The following is a 14,890-nucleotide window of genomic DNA, read 5'->3' on the forward strand; positions in this document are numbered from 1 at the left end:
CTTAGGTAGGTATGAAATGTCCCCATAAACTTTCAAGTGCTCCCTTACTTTCTGATACAATGTATCCACCGCATACTTTCCCTGCCACAGAGTAAATCATTTATCCAGTGATCCCTGGTTCCCTTGAGTAAGGAATGGTATTTAGAAGCCAAGATTTAAGTACTAGGGGTAATCATTACTATTGCATATTATATTTTTCAGGAGTTTGTAATTTTTTAATCCTCCTCTTAACATCTCAATCAGTACAAAAACATTGTTTCATACATGGAAATACTTAGTATGAGCTCTATTAGAAAACGTTACTAGTGGGAAATTGTTGAATTAAAACTTCATATCTATTTAAACATTTAAGCTTTTAAATGACTAAAGCTATATTGTCATACCTTTTAGGGATGAAGTTTGTTATGCATAAATATGTAGAATCTTATTTAAATCTTTTCAAAAGTGATATTTTCACACTTTCCAAATCTCCCCAATAAGATGTGATAAATCTTTCCTTACAACCCTAATAGTGTGTTGTTTCTTAATATCCCATGCTACATGGTATCTTATGCTATGAATATTTCTGGCTATTGCTCATCTAACCTCTACAGTGACTGAGTTTAGTATCTAAAGTCAGAAGACTTAGATTTGAACATTAGATCCAACACTTAACCAAATTTTCTCCTTTGAAAAATGTCACTTAATTTTCCAGAGTGTAAGTTTTCTATGTGGAAATAGAAGTAATATTATCTCTTTATCATTAGCAATATTTATAATATCCATAAATGTCTGAGATCCTGGGAATACAGGATTCAATCAAGGTCAAAGGTTTTTTTCATAAGGCAGGAAATACATTTACATATTGTGGAATACGTGTCAAGGTAAGACCTTTAGACCTACTCATAAAGATATTTAAATATTGTAAAATATCTTTTAAAATGCAAAATCCAAAAAAATAAGCAATTTGGGGAAATTGGCAGACTTCCATGATGTCATGAGGACAGCTAAACTGGAGATTTGTGTTACCTGACCACTGGACTCTTAAAATTATAAAATCCAGAATTTATTTTGATTAATATAAATATAGGGTACTATTAGGGAAGTTAGTTAGTACAAAGAAGGCCCTGGACATCTGAAACTCCACATCACACAGTAAACCAAATTATCAGATGGTATAAAACTTCAGGTATTCAAGATAATTATTTTCTTCCTAGTCATAAACATCTTTCAAAAGGGATACATTTGGTATTAAATATATCATGTTTAAAATTAAACACAGTGGAGGCTTCTTATTTCAGCTCCATCATGTTAAGAACTGCAAAGTTGTCACTCCCATTCTATAACAAGAAAATCTGGATCAACTGCAAGCAATTACATTTCTTGGACCCATCAGAGGACTGAAGTTACAAAGCAAATTGCCAACCTGAAATCTGGAGAAACAGGTGTATCCCAAAAAGATACATCAACAAAAATCTTTGCACTGTGAGCAGAGCCAGTGGAGCATAAGTTGGTAGGAACTCTTAAAGGGTAATTTCAAGAAATTTCTAGAGGCTTAGTGTGGAATTGAATGACAGTGAGACGCTTTTGGTGGCCACACTCATAAGAGGGCATCACACTTTCATGGAATCTAACTCCAGGAGGCCCACCTCCAGGTTCTCAAGATGGAGAGCTAAGAAAGATCCCCTTGAGGCTCTGGCAGGGGGGAAGGAAAGAGTAACATTGTAGGACATGTCCAAAGCATTTTCCATAAAAAACGCATACTGTCCAGCGAAACAGCTTTCCTAAAGCACACTTCTGAAGTGTTCCACTCTGGGGGAAGGGAATTCCTCCCCACATCATCTCCTCTCAGCCAACCTAAGACATAAGCCCTATAAAAGATTAAGATTTAACCAACTTATCCTACGCAGACAAAAAAGAAGTAATAAAAATTAGAACAGAAATCAATAAAATTGGAAACAGGAAACCAACTAGAAAATCAATAAAACCAAAAGCGATTTCTTTGGAAAGATCAATAGAATTGATAAACCACTAGTCATGCTAACCAAGAAAGCAGAGAGAAGACACAAATTAGCAATATCAGAAATGAAAAAGTAAGTTAAATTATATAATAATGGAACACTATGAACAAATCTAGGGCCATAAATTATACTTACATCATTACTTAGATAAAATGGACCTACTCCTTGAAAGACATAAACTATCAAAACTCACACAAGAAGAAATGAGTAACCTGATGTCCTATATTTTTAAAGAAAGTGAATCAATAATTAATGGCATCACAAGAAAAGAAAGCATCAAGCCCATATGGTTTCACTCACTATCAAACATTTATTGAAGAAATAGTACCAAGTCTCCACAATCACATTCAGAAAATAGAAGCATTGTAAATACTCCTTAACTCATTCTATAAGACCAGAATTACTTTAATATAAACCAGATAAAAGCTTTACAAGAAAATAAGACTACAAACTAATATTTCTCATGAACATTAACAGAAAAATCTGTAAGAAAACATTAACAAATTAAATCCAATAATATATTAAAAATTATATTCCATGACCAAGTGGAATTTACTCCAGGTATGCAAGGCTGGTTCAACCTTTGAAAACCAATCAATGTAATCCTACATATTACCAGGATAAAAGAGAAAAATCACATGATCATATCAATTTGTACAGGAAAAATGGAAATGTCCTCAACTTGGTAAAGACTGTTTACAAAATTCCCAGTGCTAACACAATTCTTAATTGTGAGAAACTGGACACTTTTCTCCTAAGAATGGGTAAGGTCAAGATGTCTACTCTCATTTCTATTCAATATTATACTTGAATTCCTAGCTGGAGCAACAAAACAAAACAAAATAAACATAAAATGCATACATATTTGAGAGGAAGAAATAAAACTGTCTATTGAGAGGTCATAGGTAAGGTCTACATTTAACTCCAAGAAAGTGCCAATTTCCAGAGTTCTATACCATTTTACACTCATACCAACAATGTAGGAAAGAATGTTTCTCCATATTTTCACTAGCATTTTTGGAATTATTTGTTATTTTTTTTGGGGGGGGGGTCATTTTAATAAGTGTGCATAGTATCTCCTAATGGCTTTCATTTGTATTTCTTTGATTGCTAATAATGTTAAACATATTTCCATGTGTTTATTTACCATCTAGATGTCTACATTGGTGAAGTGTCCAAGTCTTTTGTTCATTCTCTAATTAGATTGTCTGTTTTTTTTTTAAGTTTTAGTTTGAAGAATTTTTTAATATATTCTGAAAATGAGTTCTTTGCCAAATATATAATTTGCAAAATATTTTCTCACAGTTGGTAGCTTTTCTTTTCATTGCCTTAACAAGGACTTTCACAGAGCAAAGGTTTTTAATTTTGAAAAGTCCAACTTATGGATTTTTTTATGGATTATGCCTTTGGTGTCATGTCCAAGAATTTGTCACCTAAGTCAGGAAAATTTTCTATTATATTCTCTCCTAAAAGTTTTGTAGTTTTATATTTCACATTTAGGTCATAAGAATCCATTTTGAGTTAAGTTTTGTATGGGAAGTTTAGGTCAAAGTTCTTTTTTGGGGCTATTGATATCCAAGTTTTCCAACATCATTTGTTAAAAAGTATCCTTTTTCCATTGAATTACTTTGCACATTTGTCAAAAACTATAACTTTAGTTTAGCTATGTAAATTTAATAAGCTTTCAATTTAAAATCACAAGTCCAAAGCCATTATGGGGCATAGTTTCACCTTATTTAAAAATTGAATTTGTTATACTTATGATTTTTTGAGTACTTTGAAGTTTTCATTTGTTAGTCAGACAATTGAAGTAATTTAAGTAATTTAAAAGAAAATAGATCAAATGTATAAATATGGTTTAAAATGTTGAAAAGTGATTAAATGTGCAAATGAGACCAAACACTATTAAATGGCCCTTGAAAATTGCTAAAATTTCCTAGAAATATTAATAGAATAAGTCTCATAAGCTGCAGTTTCATACTTAAAATAGTCCTTTTGAATGTATGAGTGTGGTAAACGGAACACTAATTCTAAAAAACAAAGTAACCCCTGTTAGAACAGCTAAAATAAAAAATAATGAAAATACCAAATTCTGGAAACAATGTAGAGAAACTGAATCCTTCATACACTGCTCTCGGGAATGTAAAATGATACAACCACTCTGGAGAATAGTTGTCAGTGTTTTACAAAACTAAACATGACTTACCATATGGCCCAGCAATTCTACCCTTGGGTATTTATTGAAGAGAAATGAAAACTTTTGTTTACAGAAAAACTTGCACATAACTGCTCATAGCACATTTATTTTTAATGGCCAAAAAGTAGAAACAGTACAAATGTCCCTTAAAAAGTAAATGGTTAAACAAGCTGTGGTACATCTGTGCCACAGAATACAACTCAACAATAAAAAAGGAATGAACTATTCATAGTTGCAACAACTTGGATTAATCTTAGGGAATTATGCTGCGTGAAAAAATCCCATCCTAAATGATTATATACTGTCAGGTTTCATTCATATTATACCACTGAAAATTATAGAGATGGAGAACATATTAGTGGTTGCCAGGAGTTAGGGTCTACCAAAAGCCAGGGTGAAAAGGAAGATGGTGTAGATAAAGGCAGTATAAGAAATCCTCAGAGTTATGAAACTGTTTGTATCTTGACTGCAGTGGTGGTCACACAAATCTACAATGTGATAAAATTGCATAAAATTAAATAAACACACATGTAAATGAGCATGTAAAACTGGCAATGTTTGAATAATATTGATGGATTGCATTAACATCAATATCCTCATTATCTTACTGTACTTAGTACAGTAAGATGTTGGATTCCATTAGGAGAAACCAGGTGAAGTGTTCAGGCCCTCTCTGTATTATTCCTTATACCTGTACTTGAATCTACAATCACATTTTTTTGAAACATAATAAAAAGAGAAGCAAATCTCAAATAGTCCCTTCTATGCACAAAGAACAAAAAGCAAAACTCTTAAGGGCGTCAAAAAAGCTGACACTAGCATAAACACACACAGAAATTGCTTAGAACAATGGATGAATACATAGTACGCATTTAATGGATTGTACCTACTGCTATTGCTATCACAATTATTAATATTTCTATAACTATTATCATCAATATTTGAACTTGCATTTGTTCTCATGCCTGATACTCTTCCTTCAAATAGCTCATCTGATTTAAGTGTCTGAGAATTTTACCACAAGAAACATCACTTCCTTGACAACTTATCTCAACGAACTATGCTCCGTCATTCCACTTTTCCTTGCTTCTACTTTATCCCTTTACCCTGATTTATTTTTCTTCTTGGCACTTATAAACAAACGAAATATTGCATATTTCCGTGTTTATTTGTTTATTCTCGATTCTCTCTAAAAGGCAGGCTCTATGAGAACAGGACTTTATCTACTTTGGTTCACTGTTGCTTCCCTATTTCTTACAAAATGCCTGACATGATACAGGTTCAGGAACAATTTATTAGGGAAACATTGTGTTAAGCTGAAGAGTGAATGTTGATGTTAAAGATAACAATGCAAAATTAACTTTTTCTTATGTTTTAAGCAACAACTTCAGGTGTGTGAGAAAAATGCTAGAGAAGATAACTTCAAAAATCCCTTTGCAAATTTTTTTATTAAAATACTCATAAAACTATTTTGAAAAGAATCTTGTATGCACTTCAATGGGGAGAAAAAGATCAAGGAAATGTTGTGTTCTTCTAGGGTTTGACACTAGAAGACACCTTATGCCTTATTCATGAGTTTGAATTGAAAGTCTGCTCTCTTTTGGAACCTGCTCTCTTAATTTCACTTCTCTGCTTCCACTAGCTATTCAAGTTAACTGGTTCTTAGAGTTCCACCTCTTAGGGTGGAAGCTCAGTTGCCTCAGACCAAATTTGCATTTTGCCTTCAGGTTCCATATAAAGTCTCTTACTTGAAGTTTCTTTTTGCTTCTTTATGCAGGAACTTTGAAATTCATCAAGCTACAGAAGTATAAGCTCCCCCACCTTTTCCTCCCAGGATATCGCAAGTCTTTTTAGGTTCCCTGGAAAGAAGAAATGGCATTTTAAAAATATCTACTGTGGACCACAACTGTTTCAGAGGGAGAGACAAACTGACTTTGCCTGTGTCAGTTCTTAAAGGAACATCTTTTCTACCCAGGTCCACTGTGAAGTGGTTTATAGCAACTCTCCCAATGAATCCACGTGGTTTACTCTTCATTAAAAGGATAAGTAAGTAGGGGGAAAAAAAAGTGTCATGGGATCTATTGAGGAAGACAATAGCTACCATTATTATTGAGTATTTTAAAAATTTTATACATGTTTCAGGATATTAGAAAGATGGGGCTCCAAAAGATTGAGTATTTTAAAAATTCTATACGTTTCAGGATATTAGAAAGATTGGGGCTCCAAAAGATAGTTATCAGATAGCAAAGTGAAGGTAAAATAATTCCCACCCAAAATTATGTAGGATTTACAAAGGGATGGAGGAGAACTACAACAGAAAGATGCAGCAATAAGTAGGTACTGTAAATAGCCTGATAACTTAGAAAGAAATCACAGCAACCACAGAACTGAGACACATCCTTTAGGGCAGGGGTCCCCAACCCCTGGCCATGGACTGTTACCAGTCTGTGGTCTGGCCTATTAGGAACAGGGTCACACAGCAGGAAGTGAGCAGTGAGCAAGCAAAGCTGAGCTCTGCCTCCTATGACATCAGCAGTTGCATTAGATTCTTACAGGGGTGTGAACCTTACTGTGAACTGCACATGTGAGGGATCTAGGTTGCACACTCCTTATGAGAATCTGATGGTGATTCTGAGGTGGAACAATTTCACCCTGAAACCATTCCCCCACCCCCCAGTCTGTGGAAAAACTATCTTCACGAAACTGGTCTCTGGTGCCAAAAAGGATGGGGAATGCTGCTTTAGGAAACTACAAAAGAGGAGCCAACCTGAAGTGAAAACCTCATTAAATACACAAGAAAGAAAGGCAACTTGGAAGATCTGCAGATGTAACCACCTGAGGCAGTTTTCCTGCCCGCTGCACAAAGAAAGACCATGGCATTGTAGTAGAGAAAGAGTTTAATAGATATGAGGCTGGCCACACCTCATGGGAGGTGGAGTTAGTATTCAAATCATTCTTGCCCAAAGCTCCTAGATTAGGAGTTTTTCAAAGGTAGTTTGGGGGAAGGGGTGGGGGTGGCCAGGTGACAGGTGCTTGCTGCTGATTGGTTGGGGCAAAGATGAAATCACAGGGGGTTGAAACTGTCCTCCTATAGGCTGAATCACTTCTGGATGGGGCCACAGGAGCAGGGTTGGTGGGTCCAAGTGGATCCATGAGTGTCAGACGTTACAATACTTGAAAAGATATCTCAAAAGGCCAACTGGCCCTAGGTTCTCTGGTAGTGATGATATTTGCAAGATTGATTGGGGAAGTTGTCTATCTTATAACATCTGTAATGATAGCTGACAATTATTTATGTCTGCACTCTAGTAGGACTCTGATGCCTCTACTCCCGCTAGGCCTGACGAACTTTCAATAGCTATGCAAAAGCCTTCGAGTTTGGGCAAGGCCTGTTACCATTTAAACTATAGCCAAAATATCTTCCAAAGTTAGCTTGGCCCAATGACCCAGGAATAATTAAGGGAAAGACAAGATTGTTGGGGCTGGTGAATATCCAGGTTACTGATGGCAAATCCATACAGATCCTCAGCAACCTCAGTTCTTGCCTTCTCAGAAGAAAGAATTTGACGGAGGGGCATAAGGCAGAAACAGAGACCAAGGCAAGTTTCAGAGCAGGAGTGGAAGTTTATTAAAAATATTTAGAGCAGGAAAGAAAGGAAAGTACACTCGGAAGAGACCCAAGTGGGCACTTTGGAGGTCAAGTGTTCTGTTCAACCTTGATCCTAGGACTTTATATGCTGGCTGTCTTCCAGCGCCTTGTGCCCCTTTCCCTTCATTCTTCCCTTAGGGTGGGACTCCCACATGTGCAGTTCCCTCCTTGCGCTTGGGAGATGAGCATGTGCAGTGTGCTCAGGAAGTTGTGCACATGCCCATCTGAGGCTTTCTTCCCTTTTCTGATGGAATGCCCCCGGAAGGTCATACTCTGCCATTTTGTCTCTTAATGCTCATGCTCAAGCCCACTTGTCCAATTCCTGAGATTTTATTGGAAGCTGCCAATGATCAATTTCAAGTGTTTTTATATACTGGGAAATTGCCTCTCCCTGGCATCTGGGACCAACTATTATTTTAGTGTCATAGCTGCTGGACCATCACCTAATGGTCACCTGACACTCCTGGTGGGTAGGGGGAGCCCCCTCCCCACTCATGCCTGACTACCTACCTACCTACTATAACAAGATGGGGGATGGGTTAGCTCAGATCTCTTTCACCGTCATAATTTTCTCACGGATACAATTTTTGCAAAGATGGTTTTATGAAGGCCACTGATCTAAGTCACAAAACCAAGCAGTAATGTCCCATCCGATTAATCTCTTTCCTACTTAAATTCAGAGTGAAAGAACAGCAAGTTAGTAGGGGTAGAAGACCCTACCTTTCCCACTATAGGTCTCTAGGCTGAAGCAGGTCCAAGCTAAAGGAGGAAAAAACTTAAGGTATAAAAGTTAGAAGTTTCAATTATTAACAGTACTAAACATTCTAATGATTTAATTGAGGTAAGGTTTGCAACTTATTTTTCTGCAGGGCTGTGTTCTATCTAAGAAACTGCATAATAATTTTGGGCCTGCTGGAGGTTTCTTCCAGGAGCAAAAGATTACCCTGCCTGACTGTGGGAGACAAGAAAATAAAGTTGCATTTTGATCAAAATCCATGCATCACACCTATTCAACATACTGGTTACACATACATAATCTCCTTTACTCCTCATATCATCTTTGAAAGTTAGCATACAACTTGTGTTGTCTGGGGAACACATGCTCAGAAAGGTCCTGGGCTGGCTTGGTTTAAGGCTCTACTCTTAATGTCTTGAAATTTTTAATACTTTGGAAAAAGGAACCCACAATTTAATTTTGCACTGAGCCCTGCGTATTGTGTAGCTGGTCTTGCAAAGCGCTTTTACGGTGCTGGCTGTGTTCAACTTCTCAACTTACATTGGAGTTATATGGGTGTTAAGTTTTAGCCATTGGTTATACCATACATATATTTTATGTAATTTTCTGTATATATTTAATATTATACGGCCGGGCGCGGTGGCTCACGCCTGTAATCCCAGCACTTTGGGAGGCCGAGGCGGGCGGATCACGAGGTCAGGAGATCGAGACCATCCCGGCTAAAACGGTGAAACCCCGTCTCTACTAAAAATACAAAAAAGTAGCCGGGCGTAGTGGCGGGCGCCTGTAGTCCCAGCTACTTGGGAGGCTGAGGCAGGAGAATGGCGTGAACCCGGGAGGCGGAGCTTGCAGTGAGCCGAGATCCCGCCACTGCACTCCAGCCTGGGGGACAGAGCGAGACTCCGTCTCAAAAAAAAAAAAAAAAAAAATATTATACAAGTTTTAAATGTTAAAAATAAATACTTTCCCAGAAATAGATTTACTCCAGGAAACAGGGAAAAAAAATTTAATTTCTGGCCTGGCACGGTGGCTCACGCCTGTAATCCCAGCACTTTGGGCGGCTGAGGTAGGTGGATCATTTGAAGTCAGAAGTTCGAGACTAGCCTGGCCAACACGGTGAAACCCCGTCTCTACTAAAAATACAAAAATTGGCTGGGTGTGGTTAGCACATGCCTGTAGTCCCAGCTACTTGGGAGGCTGAGGCAGGAGAATCACTTGAACCCAGGAGGGGGAGGTTGCAGTGAACTGAGATCATGCCACTGCAATCCAGCCTGGGAGACAGAGCAATACTCTGTCTCAGAAAAATTTTTAAAAAATTTAATTCCTGACTCAAGTTCTTAATGAGATATAAAGCCAGGCTTTTAGCAGATAGGCAAAAATAAGAGGTCAAATCAGTGTTTTTTAAATTTAGAAATTGAAATAAATTCTGCATTGCAGCACAAAACAGCAGATATGACACAGCAGAAAAATAAATTTTTAAGCGTAAAAAGATAACCTGAGTTGTAATTCTACAATTTAGAATGAAGACACACAATGGTGAGAGAAGATAATATATATAAAGGGTAAATGACAGAGAGCCAACTTACAAATAATGGTCAACTCCAAAGGAGGAGAAAAATGGATCAAAAGCCAATTTTAAAAAAGATCTTTCCAGGTTAGAAAAAGGACCTGATACCAACGGAAGCTAAGATGTCTCACTGTGTCACGGCAAATTTAATAACCAATGTATTTTCCACTAATTTTGAATTTGACATCCAACAAAATCAAAGTGATCCTGAAACCTAAACTGAAAAACAAGTAGTCTTCCAGTAATTAACTTAACAATCAGGAAGAGTTCAATTTTTTTGTTCTTTTCTCTGCCATAAACAATACAGAAATAGGTCTTTTGAGTTTGGCAGTGAAAATTGAAGAAGGTGATGACACAAAAATATAGTCACCAGTCAATTTAGCACTCATGTTTTAGAGCAGAATGGCAGAGCTTCAGAGTTTCAGAAAAAAAAATACTCAAATACTCCAATATTCCTAGGGAAGAAAAAAAGATTAAAGATATTAATAAGTCCACTCAAAAATAAAAATGAATCAAATTTAAAACTTTATCATTGAGAAGTTGTGATAGAAAAGAACTAGCTATAAATACAGAAACAAGCAAGAAAAATCTTCAAAAATTACTAAGAATTATTGGGAGAAAGATTGACGCTGCTAGGTCTCAATAACTGGTGTAACTATGGTAACTAACATAGGATGTGAATGACAAAATATGCTTTGTAAAAAGAATACTTTTTTAAAAAAATAGCAGAGTTTGCAACCCCAGATTAAAAATATATCAGATAGGAAGAAAAAAAGCACAAAAATATTATACTTATTTTTCCACGAAATGGAGTTCAAAGTTGTCATTTTTTGTTTTTATAACAGCATAACATATACAAATTAATCTATGAAAATTGCTAAAGTTGCCAATAATCAAATTAAAATCAAATTATCCATTTTCCAAATTATTACAAATGATAAGAAAATACTGTTGGGGTTCAGAAAATAATATCCCCAAATCTGTCACTTTGACATGCTGAACTAAAGCAGCAGCCTCAAGGTCTCTCTGACCTTCCTCCTCTTCCCTCCTGTCTCTCAATCTTCTGTCTCTCCCCAAACATAGGATGAGACTGCTCTCTGAAGTGCCCTTATCTACCTAGAAACTGGACCTGCCAAAGAGGAACACAATTGCCTTCGATCCCTTCTCTAAAATTTCATTAACCAGAGAAGATTACAACTCATATCACAGAGACCGAAAATTAAATACCACACCTACAGCCCAAATAAACTTTGTCCCAAGCTATTGTTTGTTCTCTGCTCCCACTCAGTTTACAAAGAGACTCATTTATAAGCTAATTTCTGTCCATTCATCTCTCCTAAAATCATTTACTGTCTCTCTAAAATTGGCTACAGCCACCACTTCCCTGTCGCCTTTGAAGAGAGTATTTAAGCTTCAATCATCTGGCCATCCTCTGATGCTTCATATTTTTGTCCGGCTACCGTGCTTATATACATTGAGAAATTTGTTATGCTTTTCTCTTGTTAACCTTTCTTTTGTTATAGGGATATGAATTGTGACCCTTATGATGAGGAGGAAAGGGATCATCCCTCTCTGTTCCTTCCACACAAAACATTTTCTATGCAACAGAACACGGTGAAAGAAACAGCTAACCTAAAGAGGCATAAAATTAACATAAGTAAGGCCTAGAGAAAGAATGAAAATCAATTACAATAAAGTTAAATTCAATATTAATCAAATGGTTCAAATGAAAATACCCCCAAGCCTTGGAATATTATTAAATGACTATTATTTCAGAGGAAATACGGTATAAAATACAGAACTACATAGAAATTTTTTAAACTGTAATAGTACAGCTCAATCTTCTAGATGAATATGGACACTCAAACTGGAAATAAAGTAACAGGGAACAGAGGAGATACAAATCTTCCTATCCCTAGAGGTGCATTTCCTCTCCCTTTTGATAATTTAGCAGAGCTGGCTCAGGAGACTTGAGTTGCCCCAAGGGAAGAACAGGCTGATACCAGCTACTGTGTCTCTAGAGTTCCCCCTTTCTAAAAAGGCTCCTTCCAGACCAGGGAGCTTCCACTCTTAAATACACACTTAGATGTTCCTGGCCCTCTGCATAAATGCAGAGGGCAAGACGCTTCCCTTTGACACATGAGCCTCTGTGCATTATGAGCCAGCCATGCTCCCTAAGTTGTGGGTCTATAAGATTTGGGGCAATATGCCTGTGCTCTACTTTTTTCTGCTAGCAAATTTCCTCCCCAAAACCCTGTTAAATCTAGTCTGCTTTGCTAGTGACGTTGTCCATGATTGCTTTGCACAACAGGAATAGAAGCCAACAATTTATTATGCCACATATTCATCTGAGGAATGAAAAGTGGATTACATTTATAAAATTGATTAACATCATATGTCACATAAAAAGGATAAATAAGAAAAATTATATTATCCCTTTAATGGGATGGTAAAAAGCATTCGATAAAATATTACGCCCATTTATATTTTAAAACCCTTTAAAAAGGACAAGAAAGATGGGCTCAGAGTTTATTTCAAATCAACATCCAGCATTATACTCAGTGGGGAATGTGCTACAGTCGCTTCCTTTAAATCACTAGCAAAGCAAATAAGATTTCTCTCTATTTTTAAACTAATGATATTTAAGAAATTCTTATCAATTTCATAATTTATGAACCAAAAATAAGTGAAAACATAATAGAAAGAAACAGGAAATATTTTTGTTAGTTGCAGAAGATATAATGCAAAAGTTCTAGAAAAGCAATTGATTGAAAAATAGAATTCATAGAGGAGCTTATCAAAGTGGAAGAGTAAGAGATGTATGTGAAAACATCTGTTCCAATTCTACATACCAAATTCAAGAATTCCCATTTAAAAAAAAACTGTAAGAATTATTCCAGTGAGAAAAGTAAGAGACCTATAGGGATAAAACTGTAAACATTTATTTTATGTTTATATCTAATATATATTTCCATTATTATTTCATATTTCTCAATAGTGTCAAGATTTTAAATCTGCTGATATTAATCTATAGACTTAGTTCAATTAGAATAAAAATTGTAATGGAATCAGTTTTTGAATATTGAGGAAATTAAACTAATCTGTAAGAATAACCAGGTGATGCCAGGCATGGTGGCTCTCACCTGTAATCCCAGCAATTTGGGAGGCCAGGGCAGGCAGATCACTTGAGTTCAGGAGTTTGAGACCAGCCTGGCCAACATGGTGAAACCCCGTCTCTTCAAAAATACAAAAATTAGCTGGATGTGGTGGCAGGAGCCTGTAATTCCAGCTACTGGGTAGGCTGAGGCAGGAGAATTGCTTGAACCTGGTAGGTGGAGATTGCAGTGAGCTGAGATTGCACCATTGCACTCTACCCTGGGCAATAAGAGCAAAACTCCATCTCAAAAAAAAAAAAAAAAAAAAAAGAATAACCAGGTGAGAACATCTTTGAAATTTTTCAAAAGATAATAACTAGCCAAACTACCAGAAGCATTCCAACCAGAGCACCTCCATCTTGAACAGGGGCTGGGTAAAATAAGGCTGAGACCTTCTGGACTGCATTCCCAGGATGTTGGGCATTCTTAGACACAGGATGAGCTAGGAGGTTGACACAAAATATAGAACATAAGGACCCCACTGATAAAACAGGATACAGTAAAGAAGCTGGCCAAAACCTGCCAAAACCAAGATGGTGATAAAATTGACCTCTGGTGGTCCTCACAGCTCATTATATGCTAATTATGATGCATTAGCATACTGAAAGACACTCCCACCAGCACCATGACAGCTTATAAATGCCATGGCAACATCCAGAAGTTAATATGGTCTAAAAAAGAGACGAACCTTCGGTTCTGTGAACTCCCCATCCTTTTCCTGGAAAACTCATGAATAATCCACAACTTGTTTAGCATATAATGAAGAAATCGCCATAAATATACTCAATCAGCCCATGCTGCTGCTCTGTCTAGGGAGTAGCCATTTTTTGTTTCTTTACATCTCTAATAAATTTGCTTTCACGTTAGTCTGTGGACTCACCCAAATTCTTTCTTGCAAGAGATTCAACAACCCTCTCTTGGGGTATGGATCAGAGCCCCTTTCCAATCCAGAAGGTTTTCTTATCTCCTTTTTCTCCTGCTTCTTTCTGGTAACAAAGCCATATATTTAAAATAAATTGTATAGGTCAGTAATTAAAACATTGGCCTACTTGTCTACAAATAAACGTACAGACCATTGCAACAATTCAGGTGACTAAAAAGAAATGATATCGTATATATGATAAAAGAGGCCTCACAGGCCAGGAGCGGTGGCTCATGCCTGTAATCCCAGAACTTTAGGAGGCCAAGGTGGGTGGATGACTTGAGTTCAGGAGTTCAAGACCAGCCTGGGCAACATGGTGAAGCCCATCCCTACAAAAAAACACAAAAATTAGCCAGGCATGGTGATGTGTGGCTGTCGTCCCAGATACTCAGGAGGCTGAAGCAGGAGGATCACTTTAGTCCATGAGGTCAAGGCTGCAGTGAGCTGTGATTGTGCTCCTGCCCTCCAGCCTGATCACAGAGGGAGACCCTGCCCTTCCCCCACAAAAAAAGAGGCATCACAGATTAAAGAATAATAAAAGGATCATCTATTAAATGGCCCTAGTAAAATTTGGTGAGGAGCAAAGGGAAGGGAGAATCCATGTACAATTCAATTCATACCGTACAACATATTTAATTCCTGAGGAATTAAAAAAATAATTATT

This window comes from Homo sapiens, chromosome 13, assembly GCF_000001405.40.
Source record: "Homo sapiens chromosome 13, GRCh38.p14 Primary Assembly".
Lineage (NCBI taxonomy): Eukaryota > Metazoa > Chordata > Mammalia > Primates > Hominidae > Homo > Homo sapiens.